The 23044-nt window shown below is 36.6% G+C and overlaps 12 annotated features.

Annotated features, from left to right (window-relative positions):
* Window positions 165–699: an enhancer, noted in NCBI's record as "OCT4-NANOG hESC enhancer chr8:46874167-46874701 (GRCh37/hg19 assembly coordinates)". NCBI's record gives its function as "activates a minimal SCP1, AML or CMV promoter by ChIP-STARR-seq in primed H9 embryonic stem cells {active_cell/tissue: H9 hESC(primed)}" and the evidence as "EXISTENCE:reporter gene assay evidence [ECO:0000049][PMID:30033119]".
* Window positions 8093–8633: an enhancer, noted in NCBI's record as "OCT4-NANOG hESC enhancer chr8:46866233-46866773 (GRCh37/hg19 assembly coordinates)". NCBI's record gives its function as "activates a minimal SCP1, AML or CMV promoter by ChIP-STARR-seq in primed H9 embryonic stem cells {active_cell/tissue: H9 hESC(primed)}" and the evidence as "EXISTENCE:reporter gene assay evidence [ECO:0000049][PMID:30033119]".
* Window positions 12515–13458: an enhancer, noted in NCBI's record as "OCT4-NANOG hESC enhancer chr8:46861408-46862351 (GRCh37/hg19 assembly coordinates)". NCBI's record gives its function as "activates a minimal SCP1, AML or CMV promoter by ChIP-STARR-seq in primed H9 embryonic stem cells {active_cell/tissue: H9 hESC(primed)}" and the evidence as "EXISTENCE:reporter gene assay evidence [ECO:0000049][PMID:30033119]".
* Window positions 17182–17698: an enhancer, noted in NCBI's record as "OCT4-NANOG hESC enhancer chr8:46857168-46857684 (GRCh37/hg19 assembly coordinates)". NCBI's record gives its function as "activates a minimal SCP1, AML or CMV promoter by ChIP-STARR-seq in naive H9 embryonic stem cells {active_cell/tissue: H9 hESC(naive)}" and the evidence as "EXISTENCE:reporter gene assay evidence [ECO:0000049][PMID:30033119]".
* Window positions 17699–18216: an enhancer, noted in NCBI's record as "OCT4-NANOG hESC enhancer chr8:46856650-46857167 (GRCh37/hg19 assembly coordinates)". NCBI's record gives its function as "activates a minimal SCP1, AML or CMV promoter by ChIP-STARR-seq in naive H9 embryonic stem cells {active_cell/tissue: H9 hESC(naive)}" and the evidence as "EXISTENCE:reporter gene assay evidence [ECO:0000049][PMID:30033119]".
* Window positions 18275–18833: an enhancer, noted in NCBI's record as "OCT4-NANOG-H3K27ac hESC enhancer chr8:46856033-46856591 (GRCh37/hg19 assembly coordinates)". NCBI's record gives its function as "activates a minimal SCP1, AML or CMV promoter by ChIP-STARR-seq in naive and primed H9 embryonic stem cells {active_cell/tissue: H9 hESC(naive and primed)}" and the evidence as "EXISTENCE:reporter gene assay evidence [ECO:0000049][PMID:30033119]".
* Window positions 19394–19952: an enhancer, noted in NCBI's record as "OCT4-NANOG-H3K27ac-H3K4me1 hESC enhancer chr8:46854914-46855472 (GRCh37/hg19 assembly coordinates)". NCBI's record gives its function as "activates a minimal SCP1, AML or CMV promoter by ChIP-STARR-seq in primed H9 embryonic stem cells {active_cell/tissue: H9 hESC(primed)}" and the evidence as "EXISTENCE:reporter gene assay evidence [ECO:0000049][PMID:30033119]".
* Window positions 19953–20512: an enhancer, noted in NCBI's record as "OCT4-NANOG-H3K27ac-H3K4me1 hESC enhancer chr8:46854354-46854913 (GRCh37/hg19 assembly coordinates)". NCBI's record gives its function as "activates a minimal SCP1, AML or CMV promoter by ChIP-STARR-seq in naive and primed H9 embryonic stem cells {active_cell/tissue: H9 hESC(naive and primed)}" and the evidence as "EXISTENCE:reporter gene assay evidence [ECO:0000049][PMID:30033119]".
* Window positions 20513–21071: an enhancer, noted in NCBI's record as "OCT4-NANOG-H3K27ac-H3K4me1 hESC enhancer chr8:46853795-46854353 (GRCh37/hg19 assembly coordinates)". NCBI's record gives its function as "activates a minimal SCP1, AML or CMV promoter by ChIP-STARR-seq in naive and primed H9 embryonic stem cells {active_cell/tissue: H9 hESC(naive and primed)}" and the evidence as "EXISTENCE:reporter gene assay evidence [ECO:0000049][PMID:30033119]".
* Window positions 21072–21631: an enhancer, noted in NCBI's record as "OCT4-NANOG-H3K27ac-H3K4me1 hESC enhancer chr8:46853235-46853794 (GRCh37/hg19 assembly coordinates)". NCBI's record gives its function as "activates a minimal SCP1, AML or CMV promoter by ChIP-STARR-seq in naive H9 embryonic stem cells {active_cell/tissue: H9 hESC(naive)}" and the evidence as "EXISTENCE:reporter gene assay evidence [ECO:0000049][PMID:30033119]".
* Window positions 21632–22191: an enhancer, noted in NCBI's record as "OCT4-NANOG-H3K27ac-H3K4me1 hESC enhancer chr8:46852675-46853234 (GRCh37/hg19 assembly coordinates)". NCBI's record gives its function as "activates a minimal SCP1, AML or CMV promoter by ChIP-STARR-seq in naive and primed H9 embryonic stem cells {active_cell/tissue: H9 hESC(naive and primed)}" and the evidence as "EXISTENCE:reporter gene assay evidence [ECO:0000049][PMID:30033119]".
* Window positions 22192–22751: an enhancer, noted in NCBI's record as "OCT4-NANOG-H3K27ac-H3K4me1 hESC enhancer chr8:46852115-46852674 (GRCh37/hg19 assembly coordinates)". NCBI's record gives its function as "activates a minimal SCP1, AML or CMV promoter by ChIP-STARR-seq in naive and primed H9 embryonic stem cells {active_cell/tissue: H9 hESC(naive and primed)}" and the evidence as "EXISTENCE:reporter gene assay evidence [ECO:0000049][PMID:30033119]".

Genomic DNA, 23044 nt, shown 5'->3' with positions numbered 1-23044 from the left:
GCAAACATCACAAAATACTTTGTGAGAATGCTTCTGTGTAGTTTTCTATGAAGATATTTCCTTTTCTACCATAGGCTTCAAAGCGCACCAAACATCCACTTGGAAATTCTACAAGAGTGTTTCAAAACTGCTCTATGAAAAGGAAGGTTCACATCTGTGAGTTTAATGCACACATTACAAAAAGTTTCTGAGATTTCTTCTGCCTAGTTTTTAAGTGAAGAAATTCCCGTTTCCAAAGAATGCCTCAAGGAGGTCCAAATATCCACTTACTGATTCAACAAAAAGGGTGTTTCAAAACTGCTTTATCAGGAGGAATGTTCAATTCTGTGAGTTGAATGCAAACATCACAAAGCAGTTTCTGAGAATGCTTCCATATTGTTTTTCTATGACGATATTTCCTTTTCTACAATAGACTTCAAAAAGCTCTAAATATCCACTTGGAAATTCTACAAAAAGTGTGTTTCAAAACTGCTCCATCAAAAGAAAGGTTAAACTCTGTGTGTTGAACGCACACATCACAAAGTAGTTTAGGAGAATGCTTCTGTCTAGTTTTTATGTGAAGATATATCCTTTTGTAAAATAGGCCTCAAAACCCTCTAAATACACACTTGCAAATTCTACAAAAAGAGTGTTTCAAAACTGTTCCTTCAAAAGAAAGTTAAAATCTGTGAGTTTAATGCACACATCACAAACAAGTTTCTGAGAATCATTGTGTCTACTATTTATATGAAGATATTTCCTTTTCTACCATAGGCCTCAAACCCCTTAAATATCCACTTGGAAATTCTACAAAAAGACTGTTTCAAAACTGCTCTATTGAAAGGAAGGTTCAACTCTGTGAGTGGAATGCACACATCACAAAGAAGTTTCTGAGAATTCTTCTGTCTAGTTTTTATATGAAGAAATCCCGTTTCCGAAGAAGGCCTCAAAGAGGCCCAAATATCCACTTGCAGATCCTACAAAAAGAGTGTTACAAAACGGGTCTATCAAAAGGAATGTTCAACTCTGTGAATTGAATGCAAACATCACAAAGCAGTTTCTGAGAATGCTTCAGTGTAGCTTTTCTATGACGGTATTTCCTTCTCTACCATAGGGTTCAAAGTGCTCTAAATATCCAGTTAGAAATTTCCTTTTCCAACATAAGCCTCAAAGGCAGGCACATATCCACTTGCAGATTCTACAAAAAGAGTGTTTCAAACTGCTCTATCAACAGAAAAGTTCAATTCTGTATGCTGAATGCACACATCACAAAGAAGTTTCTGGGAATCCTTCTGTCTGGTTTTTATGTGAAGATATACCCGTTTCCAATGAAGGCCTCAAAGCGGTCCAAATGTCCACTTGCAGATTCCACAAAAAGGGTGTTTCAAAACAGCTCTATCAAATGATTGTTCAACTCCGTGAGTTGAATGCAAACATCACAAATGTAGTTTCTGAGAATGCTTCTGTCTAGTTTTTTGGGAAGATATTTCCGTTTCTACTATAGGCCCCAAAGATCTCTAAATATACACTTGCAAATTCTACAAAAAGAGCGTTTCAAAACTGCTCTATCAAAAGGAAGGTTAAACTCTGTGAGTTCAATGCACACATCTCAAAGTAGTTTCTGAGAAAGTTTCTGTCTAGTTTTTATATGAAGATATTTGCTTTTCTACCATAGGCCTCAAAGCTCTCTAAATTCAAACTTGCAAATTCTACAAAAAGAGTGTTTCATAACTGCTCTATCAAAAGAAATGTTCAAATCTGTGAGTTGAACGCACACATCACAAAGTTGTTTCTGAGAATGGTTCTGTCTAGTTTTTAAATGAAGTTTTTTCCTTTTCTACCATAAGCATCAAAGCACTATAAATATCCACTTGGAAGTACTTCAAAAAGAGTGTTTCAATACTGCTCTATCGAAAATAATATTCAACTCTGTGAGTTGAATACAGTCATCACAAAGAAATTTCTGAGAATTCTACTGTCTAGTATTTGCATGAAGAAATCCCGTTTCCAATGAAGGCCTCAAAGAGGTCCAAATATCCACTTGCAGATACTACAAAAAGAGTGTTTGAAAACTGCTCTATCAAGAGGAATGTTCAATTCTGTGAGTTGAATGCAAACATCACAAAGTAGTTTATGAGAATGCTTCTGTCTAGTTTTTATGTGAAGATATTTTCTTTTCTACCATAGGCCTCAAAGCACTCTAAATGTACACTTGCAAATTCTGAAAAAAGAGTGTTTCAAAACTGCTCCTTCAAAACAAAGGTTAAAATATGTGAGTTGAATGCACACATCACAATCTAGTTTTTAAGAATCATTGTGTCTAGTTTTTATATGAGGACTCAAAGCACACTAAATATCCACTTGGAAGTTCTACAAAAAGAGGATTTCAAAACTGCTCTATTGAAAGGAAGGTTAAATTCTGTGAGTTGAATGCACATATCACAAAGAAGTTTCTGATAATTTTTCTGTCTAGTTTTTACATGAAGAAATCCCGTTTCCAACGAAGGCCTCAAAGAGGTCCAAATATCCACTTACATATTCTACAAAAAGAGTGTAACAAAACTGCTCTATCAAAAGGAATGTCCAACAATGTGAGTTGAATGCAAGCATCACAAAGTAGTTTCTGAGAATGCTTCTGTGTAGTTTTTCTATAAAGATGTGTCCTTCTCTACTATCGGCTTCAAAGCGCTGAAAATATCCCTTTGGAAACTCTACAACAAGAGTGTTTCAAAACGGCTCTATCAAAAAGGAAGGTTCAAATCTGTGAGTTGAGTGCAGACATCACAAGGAAGTTTCTGAGAATACTTCTGTCTACTTTTTATGTGAAGATATTCCCGTTTCCAAAGAAGGCCTAAAAAACCTCCAAATTTCCAATTTCAGACATTTTAAAGAGTGTTTCAAAACTGTTCTGTCAAAAGGAAGGTTCAACTCTGTGAGTTGAATGCACTCATCACAAATAAGTTTATAAGAATGTTTCTTTCTAGTTTTTATGTGAAGATAATTCGTTTTCCAACATGGGCCCCAAAGGGAATGAATTATCCACTTGAAGATTCTACAAAAAGAGTGTTTAAAAACTGCTCTGTCAAAAGAAAAGTTCACTTCTGTGCGTTGAATGCACACATAGCAAAGAAGTTTCTGAGAATTCTTCTCTCTGGTTTTTATGTGAAGATAATCCTGTTTCCTACAAAGGCCTCAAAGTTGTCCAAATATCCACTTGCTGATTCCACAAAAAGAGTTTTTCAAAACTGCTCTATCAAAAGGAATGTTCATCTCCGTGAGTTGAATGCAAACATCACAAAGAAGTTTCTGAGAATGCTTCCTTCAAGTTTTTATATGAAGGTATTTTCTTTTCTACATTGGGCCTCAAAGCACTCCAAATATCCACTTGAGGATTCTACAAAAAGAGTGTTTCAAAACTGCTCTATCAAAAGAAAGATTCAACTCTGTGAGTTCAACGCACACATGACAAAGAAATTTCTGAGAATGCTTCTGTCTGGTTTTTCTATGAAGATAATTCCTTTACTAACATAGGCCACAAAGCGCTCCAATTATCCACTGGCAAATACTTCAAAAAGAGTGTTTCATAACTGCTCTATCAAATGAAAGGTTCAACTCTGTGAGTTGAATGAGCACATCACAAAATAGTTTCTGATAATGATTCTGACTACTTTTTATATGAAGATATTTCCTTTTCTACCATAAGCCTCCAAGTGCTCTAAATATCCACCTGGAAATTCTAGAAAAAGTCTGTTTCAAATCTGCTCCATCAAAAGAAAGTTTCAAGTCTGTGAGTTGAATGGACACATCACAAAGTTTTTGAGAAATCTTCTGTCTAGTTGTTATATGAAGAAATCCCTTTTCCAAAGAAGGACTCAAAGACGTCCAAATATCCACTTGCAGAGTCTACAAAAACAGTGTTTCAAAACACATCTATCAAGAGGAATGTTCAACACTGTGAGTTGAATGCAAACATCGCAAAGTAGTTTTTGAGAATGCTTCTGTGTAGTTTGTTATGAAGATATTTCCTTTTTTACCACAGGCTTCAAAGCGCTCTAAATATCCACTTGGAAATTCTACAAAAAAAGTTTTGCAAAAGTGCTCCATCAAAAGAAAGATTAAATTCTGTGAGTTCAACGCACACATCATAATGTAGTTTCTGAGAATGCTTCTGTCTAGTTTTTATGTGAAGATATTTCCTTTTCTACCATAGGCCTCCAAGCACTCTAAATACACACTTGCAAATTCTACAAAAAGAGTGTTTCGTAACTGCTCTATCAAAAGAAAAGCTAAACTCTGTGAATTGAATGTACACATCACAAATCGTTTCTGAGAAAACTTCTGTCTAGTTTTTATATGAAGACATTTCCTTTTCTAACATAGCCTCCAAGTGCTCTAAATATCCACTTGGAAATTCTACAAAAAGAGTGTTTCCAAACTGCTCTATCGAAAGGAAGGTTCACCTCTGTGAATTGAATGCACTCATCACAAAGAAGTTTCTGTGTATTCTTCTGTCTAGTTTTCATATGAAGAAATTACTGTTTCCAAGGAAGGCTTCAGAGAGGTCCAAATATCCACTTACAGATTCTACAAAAAGAGTGTTACAAATCCACTCTATCAAAAGGAATGTTCAACTCTGTGAGTTGAATGCAAACATCATAAAGTAGCTTCTGAGAATGCTTCTGTGTAGTTTTTCTATGAAGATATTTCCTTTTCTATCATAGGCTTCAAAGCGCTCTAAATATCCACTTGAAAATTCTACTAAATGAGTGTTTCAAAACTGCGCCATCAAAAGAAAGGATAAACTCTGTGAGTGCAACACACACATCACAAAGTAGTTTCTGAGAATGATTTTGTCTAGTTTTTATGTGAAGATATTTCCTTTTCTACCATGGGCCCAGAATCCCTCTATATACACACTTGCTAATTCTAAAAAAAAAAAAAAGAGTGTTTCATAACTGCTCTATCAAAAGAAAGGTTAAACTATGAAAGTTGAATGCACACATCACAATGTAGTTTCTGACAATGGTTCTGTCTAGTTTTTATATGAAGATATTTCCTTTTGTACCTTACGGCTCCAAGCGCTCCGAATATCCAGTTGGAAATTTTACAAAAAGAGTGTTTGAAAACTGCTCTATCAAAATGAAAGTTCAACCCTGTGAGTTGAATGCACACAACACAAAGACGTTTCTGAGAATTCTTCTGTCCAGTATTTAAATGAAGAAATCCCGTTTCAAACGAAGATCTCAAAGAGGTCCAAATAACCAGTTGCAGATCCTACAAAAAGAGTGTTTCAGAACTGCTCTATCATGAGGAGTTTTCAACTCTCTGAGTTTAATGAGTACATCACAAAGTAGTTTCTGAGAATGCTTCTGTCTAGTTTTTAAGTGAAGATATTTCCATTTCTGCCACATGCTGCAAAGCGCACTAAATATCCAGTTGGAAATTCCACAAAAAGATTGTTTCAAAACTGCACTATCGAAAGGAAGATTCAACTTTTTGAATTGAATGCACACATCACAAAGAAGTTTCTGAGAATTCTTCTGTCTACTTTTTATATGGAGAAATACCCGTTTCCAATGAAGACATCAGAGAGGTCAAAATATCCACTTGCAGATTCTACAAAAAGAGTGTTACAAAACTACTCTATCAAAAGGAATGTTCAACTCTGTGAGTTGAATACAAACATCACAAAGTTGTCTCTGAGAATCCTTCTGTGTAGTTTTTCTATGAAGATATTACCTTTTCTACCATAGGCTTCAAAGCGTTCCAAATATCCATTTGGAAATACTACAAAAAGAGTCTTTCAAAACTGCTCCATCAAAAGAAGGGATAAACTCTGTGAGTTCAAAGCACACATCACAAAGTAGTTTCTGAGAATGCTTCTGTCAACTTTTCATGTGAAGATATTTAATTTTTTTATCATAGGCCTCACGTCCTCTAAATACACACTTGCAAATTCTACAAAAAGAGTGTTTCACGACTGCTCCATCAAAAGAAAAGTTAAAGTCGAGTTCAATGCACACATCACAAACTAGCTTCTGAGAATGATTCTGTCCAGTTTTTATACGAAGATATTTCCTTTTCTACCATAGCCTTCAAAGCGCACTAAATATCTACATGGAAATTCTACAAAAAGAGTGTTTCAAAACTACTCTATCGAAAGGAACCTTCAACTCTGTGAGTTGAATGCACACATCACAAAAAAGTTTCTGAGAATACTTCTGTCTAGTTTTTATATGAAGAAATCCCGTTTCCAACGAAGGCCTCAAAGAGGTCCAAGTATCTACTTGCAGATTCTACAAAAAGAGTGTTTCAAAACTGCTCTATCAAGAGGAATGTTCAACTCTGTTAATTGAATGCAAAACTCACAAAGTAGTTTCTGAGAATTCTTCTGTCTAGTTTTTATGTGAAGATATTTCCTTTCCTACCATAGGCCTCAAAACACTCTAAATATACACTTGCAAATTCTACAAAAAGAGTGTTTCAAAACTTCCCCATCAAAAGAAATGTTAAACTGGGTGAGTTGAACGCACACATCACAAACTAGTTTCTGAGCATGATTCTGTCTAGACTTTATGTGAAGATATTTCCTTTTCTACCATAGGCCTCCAAGCGCTCTAAAAATCCAATTGGAAATTCTACAAAAAGAGTGTTTCAAAACTTGTGTATCAAAAGGAACGTTCAACTCTGTGAGTTGAATGCTCACATCACAAAGAAGTTTCTGAGAATTCTTCTGTCTCATATTTAAATGAAGAAATCCGGTTTCCAACGAAGGTCTCAAAGAGTTCCAAATATCCACTTGCAGATACTACAAAAAGAGTGTTTCAAAACGGCTCTATCAAGGGGAATGTTCAACTCTCTTAGTTGAATGCAAACACCACAACGCAGTTTCTGAGGGTGCTTCTGTCTAGTTTTTATGTGAAGAAATTTCCTTTTCTACTATAGGCCTCAAAGCGCTCTAAATATACACTTGCAAATTCTACAAAAAGAGTGTTTCAAAACTGCACCATGAAAAGAAATGTTAAACTCTGAGAGTTGAACTCACACATCACAAAGTACTTTCTGAGAATGATTCTGTCAAGTTTTTATATGAAGATATTTCCTTTTAGACCAAAGGCCTCAAAGTGCACAAGATATCCACTTGGAAATTCTACAAAAAGATTGTTTCAAAACTGCTCTATCGAAAGGATGGTTAAACTCTGTGAGTTGAATGCACACATCACAAAGAATTTTCTGAAAATTCTTCTGTCAAGTATTTAAATGAGGAGATCTCGCTTCCAATGAAGGCCTGAAAGAGGTCCAAGTATCCACTTGCGGATTCTACAAAAAGAGTGTTTCAACACTGCTCTATCAAGAGCAATGTTCAACTCTGTGAGTTGAATGCAATCATTACAAAGTAGTTTCTGAGAATGCTTCTGTCTACTTTTTACGTGAAGATATTTCCTTTTCTACCATATGCCTCAAAGTGCTCTAAATATACACTTGCAAATTCTACAAAAAGTGTGTCTTAAAACTGCTCCATCAAAAGAAAGGTTAAACTCTGTGAGTTGAAAGCACACATCACAAAGTAGTTTCTGAATATGGTTCTGTCTAGTTTTCATATGAAGATATTTCCTTTTGTACCATAGGCCTCAAAGCCCTCTAAATACTCACTTTCAAATTCCACAAAAAAGATTGTTTCAAAACTGCTCTATCAAAAGAAGTGTTAAACTCTGTGAATTGAATGCAAATATCACAAAGCAGTTTCTGAGAATGATTCTGTCTAGTGGTTATATGAAGATATTTCCTTTTCTACAATAGGCCGCAAATAGCTCTAAATATCCACTTGGAAATTCTACAAAAAGAGTGTTTCAAAACTGGTTATCGAAAGGAAGGTTCAACATTGTGAACTGAATGCGCACATCACAAAGAAGTTTCTGAGAATCCTTCTGTCTAGTTTTCATAGGAAGAAATCCCGTTTCCAATGAAGGTCTCAAAGAGTTTCAAATATCCACTTGCAGATTCTATGAAAAGGGTGTTACAAAATTGCTCTATCAAAAAGAATGTTCAATTCTGTGAGTTGAATGCAAACATCACAAAGTAGTTTCTGAGAATGCTTCTGTGTACTTTTTCTATGAAGATATTTCCTTCTATACCATAGGCTTCAAAGCGCTCTAAATATCCAGTTGGAAATTCTACAAAAACAGTGTTTCAGAACTGCTCCATCAAAAGGAAGGTTCAATTCTGAGTTGAGTGTACACATCACAAAAAATTTCTGAGATTTCTTCTCTCTAGTTTTTAAGTGAAGAATTTTTCGTTTCCAACGAAGGCCTCATAGAGGTCCAAATATCCACTTGCAGATCCTACAAAAAGAGTGTTTCAAAACTGCTCTATCAAAAGGAATGTTCAACTCTTTGAGTTGAATGCAAACATCACAAAGCAGTTTCTGAGAATGCTTCTGTGTAGTTTTTCTATGAATATATTTCCTTTTCTACCATAGGCCACAAAACACTCTAAATATCTACTTGCAAATTCTACAAAAAGACTATTTCAAAACTGCTCTATCAGAGGGAAGGTTTATCTCTGTGAGTTGAGTGCAGACATTACAAAGAAGTTTCAGAGAATACTTATGTCTACTTTATATGTGAAGATATTCCCGTTTCCAATAAAGACCTCAAAGACCTCCAATTATCCACTTGCAAACTTTACATACAGAGCATTTCAAAACTGCTGTCAAAAGAAAGATTCAACTCTGTGAGTTGAATTCACTCATCACAAAGAAGTTTATGAGAACGATTCATTCTAGTTTTTATGTGAAGTTAACTCCTTTCCCAACATGGGCCTCAAAGGGAATAAAATATCCACTTGAAGATCCTACAAAAAGAGTGTTTGTAAACTGCTATATCAAAAGAAATATTCACCTCTGTGAGTTGAATACACATATCACAAAGAAGTTTCTGAGAATGCTTCTCTCTGGATTTTATGTGAAGATAATCCCGTTTCCAACGAAGGCCTCAAATCGGTCGAAATATCCACTTGCAGATTCCACAAAAAGAGTGTTTCAAAACTTCTCTATACAAAGGAATGTTCAACTCTGTTAGCTGAATGGAAACATCACAAAATAGTTTCTTAGAATGCTTCTGTCTACTTTTTTTATTAAAATACTTCCTATTCGACACAAAGCTCTCTAAATATTCATTTGCAAATTCTACAAAAAGAGTGTTTCAAAACTGCTCTATCCAAAGGAAGTTTCAACTCTGTGAGTTGAATGCAGACCTCACAAAGAAGTTTCTGAGAATACTTCTGTCTACTTTCTATGTGAAGTTATACCCGTTTCAAAAGTAGGCCTCAAAGCACTCCAAAGATCCACTTGCAGATTCTACAAAAAGATTGTTTCAAAAATGCTCTATCAAAAGGAAGGTTCAACTCTGTTAGTTGAAGGCACACATCAAAAATAAGTTTCTGAGAATGATTCTTTCTTGTTTTTATATGAAGATATTTCCTTTTCCAACATAAGCCTCAAAGGGAGGCACATATCCACTTGGAGATTCTACAAAAAGAGTGTTTCAAAACTGCTCTATCAACAGAAAAGTTTAACTCTGTAAGTTGAATGCACACATCACAAAGCAGTTTCTGGGAATCCTTCTGTCTCATTTTTATTTGAAGATATACCCATTTCCAATGAAGTCCTCAAAGCGGTCCAAATGTCCACTTGCAGATTACACAAAAAGGGTGTTTCAAAACTGCTCTATCAAATGATTGTTCAACCCGGTGAGTTGAATGCAAACATCACAAAGTGGTTTCTGAGAATGCTTCTGTCTAGTTTTTTGGGATGATATTTCCTTTTCTACCATAGACCCAAAGATCTCTAAATATGCACTTGCAAATTCTACAAAAAGTGTGTTTCAAAACTTCTCTATCAAAAGAAAGGTTAAACTCTGTGAGTTGAATGCAAACATCACAAAGTAGTTTAGGAGAATGCTTCTGTCTAGTTTTTATGTGAAGATATTTCCTTTTGTACCATAGGCCTCAAAGCCTTCTAAATCCACACTTGCAAACTTTGGAAAAGAGTGTTTCAAAACTGCTCCATCAAAAGAAAGGTTAAAATCTGTGAGTTGAACACACACATCACAAACTAGTTTCTGAGAATCATTGTGTCTAGTTTTTATATGAAGATATTTCCTTTTCTACCATAGGCCTCAAACCCCTTAAATATCCACTTAGAATTTCTACAAAAAGAGTGTTTCAAAACTGCTCTATTGAAAGGAAGTTTCAACTCTGTGATTTGAATGCACACATCACAAAGAAATTTCTAAGAATTCTTCTGTCTAGTTTTTATATGAAGGAATCCCATTTCCTACGAAGGCCTCAAAGAGGCCAAAATGTCCAATTGCAGATTCTACAAAAAGAGTGTTACAAAACTGGTCTATCAAAAGGAAAGTTCAACTCTGTGAGTTGAATGCAAACATCAAAAAGTAGTTTCTGAGAATGCTTCTGTGTAGCTTTTCTATGAAGATATTTCCTTCTCTACCATAGGCTTCAAAGTGCTCTAAATATCCAGTTGGGAATTCTACAAAAAGAGTGTTTTAAAACTGCTCTATCAAAAGGAAGGTTCAACTCTGTGAGCTGAATGCACACATCACAAATAGTTTCTGAGTTTCTTCTGTCTAGTTTTTTTTTTTTTTTTTTTTTTTTTTTGAGACGGATTCTCGCTCTGTCACCCAGGCCGGACTGCGGACTACAGTGGCGCAATCTCGGCTCACTGCAAGCTCCGCTTCCCGGGTTCACGCCATTCTCCTGCCTCAGCCTCCCGAGTAGCTGGGACTACAGGCGCCCGCCACCGCGCCTGACTAATTTTTTGTATTTTTAGTAGAGACGGGGTTTCACCTTGTTAGCCAGGATGGTCTCGATCTCCTGACCTCATGATCCACCCGCCTCGGCCTCCCAAAGTGCTGGGATTACAGGCTTGAGCCACCGCGCCCGGCCCTGTCTAGTTTTTAAGTGAAGAATTTCCCGTATCCAACGAAGACCTCGTAGAGGTCCAAATATTCACTTGCAGATCCTACAAAAAGAATGTTTCAAAACTGCTCTATCAAAAGGAATATTCAACTCTGTGAGTTGAATGCAAACATCACAAAGCAGTTTCTGAGCATGCTTCTGTGTAGTTTTTCTATGAATATATTTCCTTTTCTACCATAGGCCCCAAAACGCTCTATATCTCCACTTGCAAACTCTACAAAAAGAGTGTTTCAAAACTGCTCTATCAAAGGGAAGGTTGATCTCTGTGAGTTGAGTGCAGACATCACAAAGAAGTTTCAGAGAATACTTATGTCTACTTTTTATGGGAAGATATTCCCCTTTCCAAAGAAGGCCTGAAAGCACTACAAATGTCCACTTGCAAACGTTACAAACAGAGCGTTTCAAAACTGCTGTGTCAAAAGAAAGGTTCAAGTCTGTGAGTTGAATTCACTTATCTATCTCAAAGAAGTTTATGAGAATGTATCATTCTAATTTTTATGTGAAGATAACTCCTTTTCCAACATGGGCCTCAAAGGGAATAAAATATCCACTTGAAGATTCTACAAAAAGAGTGTTAGAAAACTGCTATATCAAAAGAAATATTCACCTCTGTGAGTTGAATGCACACATCGCAAAGAAGTTTCTGAGAATGCTTCTCTCTGGTTTTTATGTGAAGATAATCCCGTTTCCAACCAAGGACTCAAAGCGGTCTAAATGTCCACTTGCAGATTCCACAAAAAGAGTGTTTCAAAACTTCTCTATCAAAAGGAATGTTCAACTCTGTTAGTTGAATGGAAACATCACAAAGTAGTTTCTTAGAATGCTTCTGTCTACTTTTTTATGAAAATACTTCCTATTCTACCATAGGACATGCAGCACTCTAAATATCCACTTGGAAATTCTACAAAATGAGTGTACAAAACTGCTCTATCCAAAGGCAGGTTCAGCTCAGTGAGTTGAATGCAGACATCACAAAGAAGTTTCTGAGAATACTTCTGTCTACTTTCTCTGTGAAAATATACCCGTTTCAAAAGTAGGCCTCAAAGCCCTCCAAAAATCCACTTGCAGATTCTACAAAAAGTGTGTTTCAAAAATGCTCTATCAAAAGGAAGGTTCAACTCTGTGAGTTGAAGTCACACATCAAAAAGTAGTTTCTGAGAATGATTCCTTCTACTTTCTATGTGAAGATATTTCCTTTTCCAAAATAAGCCTCAAAGGGAGGCACATATCCACTAGCAAATTCTACAGAAAGAGTGTTTCAAAACTGCCCTATCAAAAGAAAAGTTAAAATCTGTAAGTTGAATGCACACATCACTAAGAAGTTTCTGGGAATCCTTCTGTCTGATTTTTATGTGAAGATATGCCCGTTTTCAACGAAGGCCTCACAGCGGTCCAAATGTCCGCTTGCAGAATCTACAAAAAGGGTGATTCAAAACTGCTCTATCAAATGATTGTTCAGCTCTGTGAGTTGAATGCAAACATCACAAATTAGCTTCTGAGAATGCTTCACTCTACTTTTTATGTGAAGATATTTCACTTTCTGCCACAGGCTACAAAGCGCCCTAAATATACACTTGCAAATCATACAAGAAGAGTGTTTCAAAACTTCTCCATTCAAAAGAAAGGTTAAACTCTGTGAATTCAATGCACACATCACAAACTGGTTTCTGAGAATGCTCCTGTGTTGTTTTTCTATGAAGATAGTTCCTTTTCTAACATAGGCTTCAAAGGGCACTAAATATCCACTTGGAAATTCTACAAAAAAAGTGTTTCAAAACTGTTCTATTGAAAAGAAGGTTAAACTCTGTGATTTGAACGCACACATCACAGAGTAGTTTCTGAGAATTATTCTGTCTAGTGTTTATATGTAGATAATTTCTTTTCTACCAAAGTCCTCAAACCACTCTAAATATCCACTTGGAAATTCCTCAAAAAGAGTGTTTCAAAACTGCTCTATTGGAAGGAAGATTCAACTCTGTGAATTGAATGCATAGAACACAAAGATGTTTCTGAGAATTCTGTCTAGCTTTCATAAGAAGAAAGCCCGTTTCCAATGAAGGCCTCAAAGAGCTTCAAATATCCACTTGCAGATTCCACAAAAAGAGTGTTTCAAAACTGCTCCATCAAGAGGAATGTTCAACTCTGTGAGTTGAATGCAAACATCACACAGTAGTTTCTGAGAATGCTTCTGTTTAGTTTTTATGTGAAGATATTTCCTTTTCTACCATAGGCTTCAACGTGCTCCAAATATCCACTTCAAAATTCTACAAAAAGAGGGTTTCAAAATTTCTCCATGAAAAGAAAGGTTAAACTCTGTGAGTTGAATGCACACATCACAAAGTAGCTTCTGAGAATGATTCTGTCTGGTTTTTATATGAAGATATTTCGTTTTTAACCATAGACCTCAAAGCGCTCTAAATATCCACTTGGAAATTATGTAAAAAGAGTTTCAAAACTGCTCTATCGAAAGGAAGGTTCAACTCTGTGTACTGAATGCACACACCACAAAGAGGTTTCTGTGAATTCTTCTATCTCGTTTTTAAATGAAGAAATCCCGTTTCCAAGGAAGGCCTCAAATAGGTCAAAATATCCACTTGCATATCCTATAAAAAGAGTGTTTCAAAAGTGCTCTACCAAAAGGAATGTTCAACTCTGTGAGTTGAATGCAAACATCAACAAGTAGTTTCTGAGAATGCCTCTGTGTAGTTTTAATATGAAGATATTTCCTTTTCTAGCATAGGCCCCAAAACGCTCTATATATCCACTCGCAAATTCTACAAAAAGAGTGTTTCAAAACTGCACTATCAAAGGGAAGGTTCAACCCTGGTAGTTGAGTGAAGACATCACAAAGGAGTTTCTGAGAATACTTCTGTTTACTTTTATGTGAAGATATTCCCCTTTACAAAGAAGGCATTAAAGCATTCCAAATATCCACTTGCAGACTTTACAGAGTGTTTCAAAACTGCTTTAACAAAAGAAAGGTTAAACTCAGTGAGTTTAAAGCACACATCACAAACTAGTTTCTGAGAAAGGTTCTGTCTAATTTCTATGTGAAGACATTCCCTTTTTTACCATAGGCTTCAAGGCGCCCTAAATATTCACTTGAAAATACTTCAAAAATAGTGTTTCAAAACTGCTGTATTGAAAGGAAGTTTCAACTCTGTGAGTTGAATGCACACATCACACAGAAGTTTCTGGGAATTCTTCTGTCTACTTTTTATAGGAAGAAATCCCGTTTCCAAAGAAGGCCTCTAAGAAGTCCTAATAACCACTTGCAGATTCTACAAAAAGAGTGTTACAAAACTGCTCTATCAAAAGGAATGTTCAACTCTGTGAGTTGAATGCAAACAACACAAAGTAGTATCTCAGAATGCTTCTGTGCAGTTTTTCTATGAAGATATTTCCTTTTCTACCACAGGCTTCAGAGCGCACTAAATATCCACTTGGAAATTCTACAAAAAGAGTGTTTCAAAACTGCTCTATCGAAAGAAAGATTCAACTCTGTGAGTTGAATGTCCATGTCACAGAAAGTTTCAGAGATTTCTTCTGTCTGTTTTTCAAGTGAAGAAATTCCCGTTTCCAACGAAGGCCTCAAAGAGTTCCAAATATCCACTTGCAGATTCTACAAAGGAGAGTTTCAAAACTGCTCCATCAAGAGGAATGTCCAACTCTGTCAGTTGAATGCAAACATCACACAGTAGTTTCTGAGAATGCTTCTGCCTCGTTGGTATGTGAAGATATTTCATTTTCTACCATAGGCCTCAAAGCGCTCTGAATATACACTTGCAAATTCTACAAAAGTGGTGTTTCAAAACTGCTCTATCAAAAGAAATGTTAAACTATGTGAGTTGAATGCACACATCACAAAGTAGTTTCTGAGAATGATTCTGTCTAGTTTTTATATGAAGATATTTCCTTTTCTACCATAGGTCTCAAACAGCTCTAAATATCCACTTGGAAATTCTACAAAAAGAGTGATTCAAAACTGCTCTATTGAAAGAAAAGTTCAACTCTGTGAATTGAATGCACACATCATAAACAAGTTTCTGAGAATTCTTCTGTCTAGTTTTTATATGAAGAAAGTCCCGTTTCCAACGAAGGCCTCAAAGAGGTCCAAATATCCACTTGTAGAGTCTACAAAAAGAGTGTTACAAAACTACTCTATCGAAAGTAATGTACAACTCTGTGAGTTTAATGCAAACATCACAAAGTAGTTTCTGAGAATGCCTCTGTGTATTTTTAATATGAAGATATTTCCTTTTCTACCATAGGCCAAAAAACGCTCTTAATATCCACTCGCAAACTCTACAAAATGAGTGTTTCAAAACTGTTCTATCAAAAGGAAGGTTAAACTCTGTTAGTTGAGTGCAGACAACACAAAGAAGTTTCTGAGAATACTTCTGTTTACTTTTTATGTGAAGATATTCCTGATTCCAAAGAAGGCTTTAAAGTGCTCCAAATATACACTTGCAGACTTTACAAACATAGTGTTTCAAAACTGCTCTACCAAAAGAAAGGTTAAATTCAGTGAATTGAAAGCACAAATCACAATCTAGTTTCTGAGAAAGATTCTGTATAATTTTTATATGAAGATATTTCCTTTTCTACCATAGGCTTCAAGGCGATCTAAATATCCACTTGGAAATTCTGCAAAAAGAGTTTTTCAAAACTGCTCTATCGAAAGGAAGTTTCAACTCTGTGAGTTGAATGCACACATCAAAAAGAAGTTTCTGAGAGTCTTTCTGTCTAGTTTTTATATGAAGAAATCCAGTTTCCAACGAAGGTCTCAAAGAGGTCTAAATATCCACTTGCAGATTCTAGAAAAAAAATGTTTCAAAACTGCTACACCAAGGGGAATGTTCAACACAGTGCGTTGAATGCAAACATCCCAATGTATTTTCTGAGAATGTTTCTAATTTTTATGTGAAGATATTTCGTTTTCTAAAATAGGCGTCTAAGTGCTGTCAATATACAATTGCAAATTCTACAAAAGCGGTGTTTCAAAACTGCTCTATCAAAAGAAATGTTAAACTCTGTGAGTTGAACGCAGAGATCACAAAGTAGTTTCTGAGAATGATTCTGTCTAGTTGTTATATGAAGATATATCCTTTTCTACCATAGGCCTTAAAACACTCTAAATATCCAGTTGAAAATACAACAAAAAGAGTGTTTCAAAACTGCTCTATCGAAAGGAAGGTTCAACTCTGTGAATTGAACATACACATCACGAAGAAGTTTCTGAGAATTTTTCTGTCTATTTTTAAGTGAAGAAATTCCCGTTTCCAACGAAGGCCACAAAGAGGTCAAAATATCCACTTGCAGATACTACAAAAAGAGTGTTTCAAAACTGCCCCATCCAAAGAAAGGTTAAACTCTTTGAGTTGAACGCACACATCATGAAGTAGTTTCTGAGAATGATTCTGTGTAGTTTCCATATGAAGATATTTCCTTTTCTAGGTTAGGCCTTAAACCACTCTAAATATTCACTTGGAAATTCTACAAAAAGAGTGTTTCAAAACTACTCTATTGAAAGCAAAATTCAACTCTGTGAAATAAATGCACACATCACAAAGAAGTTTCTGAGAAATCTTCTTTCTAATTTACAAATGAAGAAATCCTGTTTCCAACGAAGGCCACAAAGAGGTCAAATATCCACCAGCAGAGCCTACAAAAAGACTGTTTCAAAACTGCTCTCTCAAGAGGAATGTTCAACTCTGTGAGTTGAATGCAAGCATCACAATGTGGTCTCTGAGAATGCTTCTGTCTAGTTTTTATGTGAAGAGATATCCTTTTCTACCACAGGTCTTAAAGAGCAATAAATATACACTTGCAAATTCTACAAAAGAAGTGTTTCAAATCAGACCCATCAAAAGAAAGTTAAGCTCTGTGAGTTGCACGCACACATCACAAAATTGTTTCTGAGAATGATTATCTCTATTTTTTATATGAAGACATTTCATTTTCTAACAAAGGCCTCAAAGCAAACTAAATATCCACTTGGAAATTCTAGAAAAAGAGTGTTTAAAAACTTCTATATAGAAAGGAATGTTCAACTCTTTGAGTAAAATGCACACATCACAAAGAAGTTTCGGAGAATTCTTCTGTTTATCTTTCATATGAAGGAATACCGTTTCCAATGAAGGCATCAAAGACGTCCAAATATCCACTTGCAGATTCTACAAAAACAGTTTTTCAAAACTACTGTATCAAAAGAATGGTTCAACTCTCTTAGTTGAGTACACACATCACAAACGTGATTCTCAGAATGCTTCTGTCTAGTTTCTATGGGTAATTTCCTTTTTCAGCATAGGCCTGAAAGCGCTCCAATTGCCCGCTTCCAGACACTATAAAAAGAGGGTTTCAAACCTACTCTATGAAGGGGAATGTTCAACTCTGAGAGCTGGATGCAAACATCACAAAGAAGTTTCTGAGAATGCTGCTGTCTACCTTTGATATGTAATCCCGTTTCCAACGAAATCCTCAAATCTATCCATATATCCACTTGCAGATTCCAAAAGAAGAGTGTCTCAAAACTGCTCTATCAATAGAAAGGTTCAGCACAGTTCGTTCAGTAGATACAGCATAAACAAGTTTCTGAGATTGCTTCTATCTCGCATTCATGGGAAGATATTTTCTTTTTCCAGATAGGCTACAAAGCCCGCCAAATATCCACTTCGAGATACTACAAATGGAGTGCTTCACAACTGCTTTATGTGAGGGAATGTTCAATTCTGTGACTTGAATGCAGACACCACAAAGAAGTTTCTGAATGCTGCTGTCTACTTTTTATATGTAATCCCGTTTACAACGAAATCCTCAAAGCCATCCAAATATCCACATGCAGAATCTTCAAAAAGAGTGTTCCAGAAGTACTGCATGAAAAGAAAGGTTCAAGTCCGTTAGTTGAGGACACACATCACAAAAAAGTTTCTGAGAATGCTTCTGTCTTGTTTTTATGGGAAGATATTTCCTTTTTCACCACAGGTAAGAAAGCGCTCCAAATGTCCACTTCCAGATGCTACAAAAAGAGTGTTTCCAACCTGCTCTATGAATGGGAATGTTCCACTCTGTGACTTGAATGCAAACATCGTAAGGAAGTTTCTGAGAATCCTGCTGTCTACTTTTTATATGTAAACCCGTTTCCAACGAAATCCTGAAAGCTATCCAAATATCCACATGCAGAATCTTCAAAAAAGAGTGTTCCAGAAGTACTGCATGAAAAGAAAGCTTCAAGACTGTTAGTTGAGGACACACATCACAAATAAGTTTCTGAGACTGCTTCTATCTTGTTTTTATGGGAAGATATTTGCTTTTTCACCACAGGCAAGAAGGCGCTCCAAATGTCCACTTCCAGATGCTACAAAAAGAGTGTTTCCAACCTGCTCTATGAACGGGAATGTTCCAGTCTGTGACTTGAATGCAAACATCGTAAGGAAGTTTCTGAGAATGCTACTGTCTACTTTTTATATGTAATCCCGTTTCCAACGAAATTCTCAAAGCGATACAAATATCCACTTGCAGATTCCAAAAAAAGAGTGTTTCAAACTGCTCTGTCAGTACAAAGGTTCAACACTGTTAGTTGATTGGATGCATCATAAACAAGTTCCTGAGATAGATTCTATGTCGTTTTTATGGGAAGATATTTCCTTTTTCACCATAGGCCTGAAAGCGCTCCAAATGTCCACTTCCAGATACTACAAAAAGAGTGTTTCCAACCTGCTCTATGAAACGGAAGGTTCAACTCTGTGACTTGATTGCAAACATCACGAAGGTATTTCTGAGAATGTTTCTGTCTAGATTTTCTTTGAAGACATTACCGTTTCCAACGAAATCCTCAAAGCTAGCCAAATATCCACCTGCAGATTCTACAAAAAGAGTGTTTCAACAGTGCTCTGTCCAAACCAAGGTTCAATTCTGACAGTTGAGTGCACACATCACAAACGTGATTCTGCGAATGCTTCCGTCTTGTTTTTGTCGGAAGATATTTCCTTTTTCAGCATAGGCCCCAAGGAGCTCAAAATGTCCACTTCCAGATAGTACGAGAAGATTGTTTCAAACCTGCTCTGTGAAAGGGAATGTTCAACTCTGTGACTTGAATGTAAACATCCCTAAGATGTTTCTTAGAATGCTTCTGGCTAGATTTGATTTGAAGATATTCCCGTTTCCAACGAAATCCTCAAAGCTTTCCAAATATCCACTTCCAGATTCTATAAAAAGAATGTTTCAAAACAGTTCTGTCAACAGAAAGGTCCAACTCTGTTAGTGGAGAACACACATCACAATCAAGGTTCTGAGAATGCTTCTGTCTAAATTTTCTATGAAGACATTCCCGTTTCCAACGAAATCCTCACAGCTATCCAAGTATCCACTTGCAGATTCTACAAAAAGTGTGGTTCAAAACTGCTGTATCAAAAGAATGGATCAACACTGTTAGTTGAGTACCCACATCACAAACGTGATTCTCAGAATGCTTCTGTCTAGTTTCTATAGGTAGATATTTCCTTTTTCAGCATAGGCCTGAAAGCGCTCCAAATGCCCGCTTCCAGACACTATAAAAAGAGGGTTTCAAACCTACTCTATGAAGGGGAATGTTCAACTCTGAGAGCTGGATGCAAACATCACAAAGAAGTTTCTGAGAATGCTGCTGTCTACATTTGATATATAAGCCCGTTGCCAACGAAATCCTCAAATCTATCCAAATATCCACTTGCAGATTCCAAAAGAAGAGTGTCTCAAAACTGCTCTATCAATAGAAATGTTCAGCACAGTTAGTTGAGTAGATACAGCATAAACATGTTTCTGAGATTACTTCTATCTTGCATTCATGGGAAGATATTTCCTTTTTCCAGATAGGCTACAAAGCCCTCCAAATGTCCACTTCGAGATACTACAAATAGAGTGCTGCACAACTGCTCTATGTGAGGGGATGTTCAATTCTATGACTTGAATGCAGACACCACAAAGAAGTTTCTGAGAATGCTGCTGTCTAATTTTTATATGTAAGCCCGTTTCCAACGAAATCCTCAAAGCTATCCAAATATCCGCATGCAGAATCTTCAAAAAGAGTGTTCCAGAAGTACTGCATGAAACGAAAGGTTCAAGTCCGTTAGTGGAGGACACACATCACAAATAAGTTTCTCATAATGCTTCTGTCTTGTTTTCATTGGAAGATATTTCCTTTTTCATCATAGTTCAGAAAGCGCTCCAAATGACCACTTCCAGATACTACAAAAGGAGTGTTTCCAACCTGCTCCATGGATGGGAATGTTCCACTCTGTGACTTGAATGGAAATATGGCAAAGTATTTTCTGAGTATGCTGCTGTGTACGTTTTATATTGCATCCCGTTTCCAACGAAATCCTCAAAGCGATCCAAATATCCACTTGCAGATTCCAAAAAAAAGAGTGTTTCACACTGCTCTGTCAGTACAAAGGTTCAACACTGTTAGTTGATTGGATGCATCAGAAACAAGTTCCTGAGATAGATTCTATGTCGTTTTCATGGGAAGATATTTCCTTTTTCACCATAGGCCTGAAAGCGCTCCAAATGTCCACTTCCAGATACTACAAAAAGAGTGTTTCCAACCTGCTCTATGAAACGGAAGGTTCAACTCTGTGACTTGATTGCAAACATCACGAAGGTGTTTCTGAGAATGTTTCTGTCTAGATTTTCTTTGAAGACATTACCGTTTCCAACGAAATCCTCAAAGCTAGCCAAATATCCACCTGCAGATTCTACAAAAAGAGTGTTTCAAAAGTGCTCTGTCCAAACCAAGGTTCAATTCTGACAGTTGAGTGCACACATCACAAACGTGATTCTGCGAATGCTTCTGTCTAGTTTTTGTCGGAAGATATTTCCTTTTTCCGCATAGGCCCCAAGGAGCTCAAAATGTCCACTTCCAGATAGTACGAGAAGATTGTTTCAAACCTGCTCTGTGAAAGGGAATGTTCAACTCTGTGACTTGAATGTAAACATCCCTAAGATGTTTCTTTGAATGCTTCTGGCTAGATTTTATTTGAAGATATTCCCGTTTCCAACGAAATCCTCAAAGCTTTCCAAATATCCACTTCCAGATTCTATAAAAAGAATGTTTCAAAACAGTTCTGTCAAAAGAAAGGTTCAACTCTGTTGGTGGAGAACACACATCACAATCAAGGTTCTGAGAATGCTTCTGTCTAAATTTTCTATGAAGACATTCCCGTTTCCAACGAAATCCTCACAGCTATCCAAATATCCACTTGCAGATTCTACAAAAAGTGTGGTTCAAAACTGCTGTATCAAAAGAATGGATCAACAGTGTTAGTTGAGTACCCACATCACAAACGTGATTCTCAGAATGCTTCTGTCTAGTTTCTATAGGTAGATATTTCCTTTTTCAGCATAGGCCTGAAAGCGCTCCAAATGCCCGCTTCCAGACACTATAAAAAGAGGGTTTCAAACCTACTCTACGAAAGGGAATGTTCAACTCTGAGAGCTGGATGCAAACATCACAAAGAAGTTTCTGAGAATGCTGCTGTCTACTTTTGATATATAATCCCGTTTCCAAGGAAATCCACAAATCTATCCAAATATCCACTTGCAGATTCCAACAGGAGAGTGTCTCAAAACTGCTCTATCAATAGAAATGTTCAGCACAGTTAGTTGAGTAGATACAGCATAAACATGTTTCTGAGATTACTTCTATCTCGCATTCATGGGAAGATATTTCCTTTTTCCAGATAGGCTACAAAGCCCTCCAAATGTCCACTTCGAGATACTACAAAGAGAGTGCTGCACAACTGCTCTATGTGAGGGGATGTTCAATTCTGTGACTTGAATGCGGACACCACAAAGAAGTTTCTGAGAATGCTGCTGTCTAATTTTTATATGTAAGCCCGTTTCCAACGAAATCCTCAAAGCTATCCAAATATCCGCATGCAGAATCTTCAAAAAGAGTGTTCCAGAAGTACTGCATGAAACGAAAGGTTCAAGTCCGTTAGTTGAGGACACACATCACAAATAAGTTTCTCAGAATGCTTCTGTCTTGTTTTCATTGGAAGATATTTCCTTTTTCACCATAGTTCAGAAAGCGCTCCAAATGTCCACTTCCAGATACTACAAAAGGAGTGTTTCCAACCTGCTTTATGAATGGGAATGTTCCACTCTGTGACTTGAATGGAAATATGGCAAAGTATTTTCTGAGTATGCTGCTGTGTACGTTTTATACTGCATCCCGTTTCCAACGAAATCCTCAAAGCGATCCAAATATCCACTTGCAGATTCCAAAAAAAAGAGTGTTTCACACTGCTCTGTCAGTACAAAGGTTCAACACTGTTAGTTGATTGGATGCATCATAAACAAGTTCCTGAGATAGCTTCTATGTCGTTTTTATGGGAAGATATTTCCTTTTTCACCGTAGGCCTGAAAGCGCTCCAAATGTCCACTTCCAGATACTACAAAAAGAGTGTTTCCAACCTGCTCTATGAAACGGAAGGTTCAACTCTGTGACTTGATTGGAAACATCACGAAAGTGTTTCTGAGAATGATTCTGTCTAGATTTTCTTTGAAGACATTACCGTTTCCAACGAAATCCTCAAAGCTAGCCAAATATCCACCTGCAGATTCTACAAAAAGAGTGTTTCAAAAGTGCTCTGTCCAAACCAAGGTTCAATTCTGACAGTTGAGTGCACACATCACAAACGTGATTCTGCGAATGCTTCTGTCTGGTTTTTGTCGGAAGATATTTCCTTTTTCAGCATAGGCCCCAAGGAGCTCAAAATGTCCACTTCCAGATAGTACGAGAAGATTGTTTCAAACCTGCTCTGTGAAAGGGAATGTTCAACTCTGTGACTTGAATGTAAACATCCCTAAGATGTTTCTTTGAATGCTTCTGGCTAGATTGTATTTGAAGATATTCCCGTTTCCAACGAAATACTCAAAGCTTTCCAAATATCCACTTCCAGATTCTATAAAAAGAATGTTTCAAAACAGTTCTGTCAAAAGAAATGTTCAACTCTGTTGGTGGAGAACACACATCACAATCAAGATTCTGAGAATGCTTCTGTCTAAATTTTCTATGAAGACATTC

The sequence above is a fragment of the Homo sapiens genome, chromosome 8 (assembly GCF_000001405.40).
Source record: "Homo sapiens chromosome 8, GRCh38.p14 Primary Assembly".
Lineage (NCBI taxonomy): Eukaryota > Metazoa > Chordata > Mammalia > Primates > Hominidae > Homo > Homo sapiens.
This window is presented reverse-complemented; position numbering and strand designations above follow the sequence as displayed.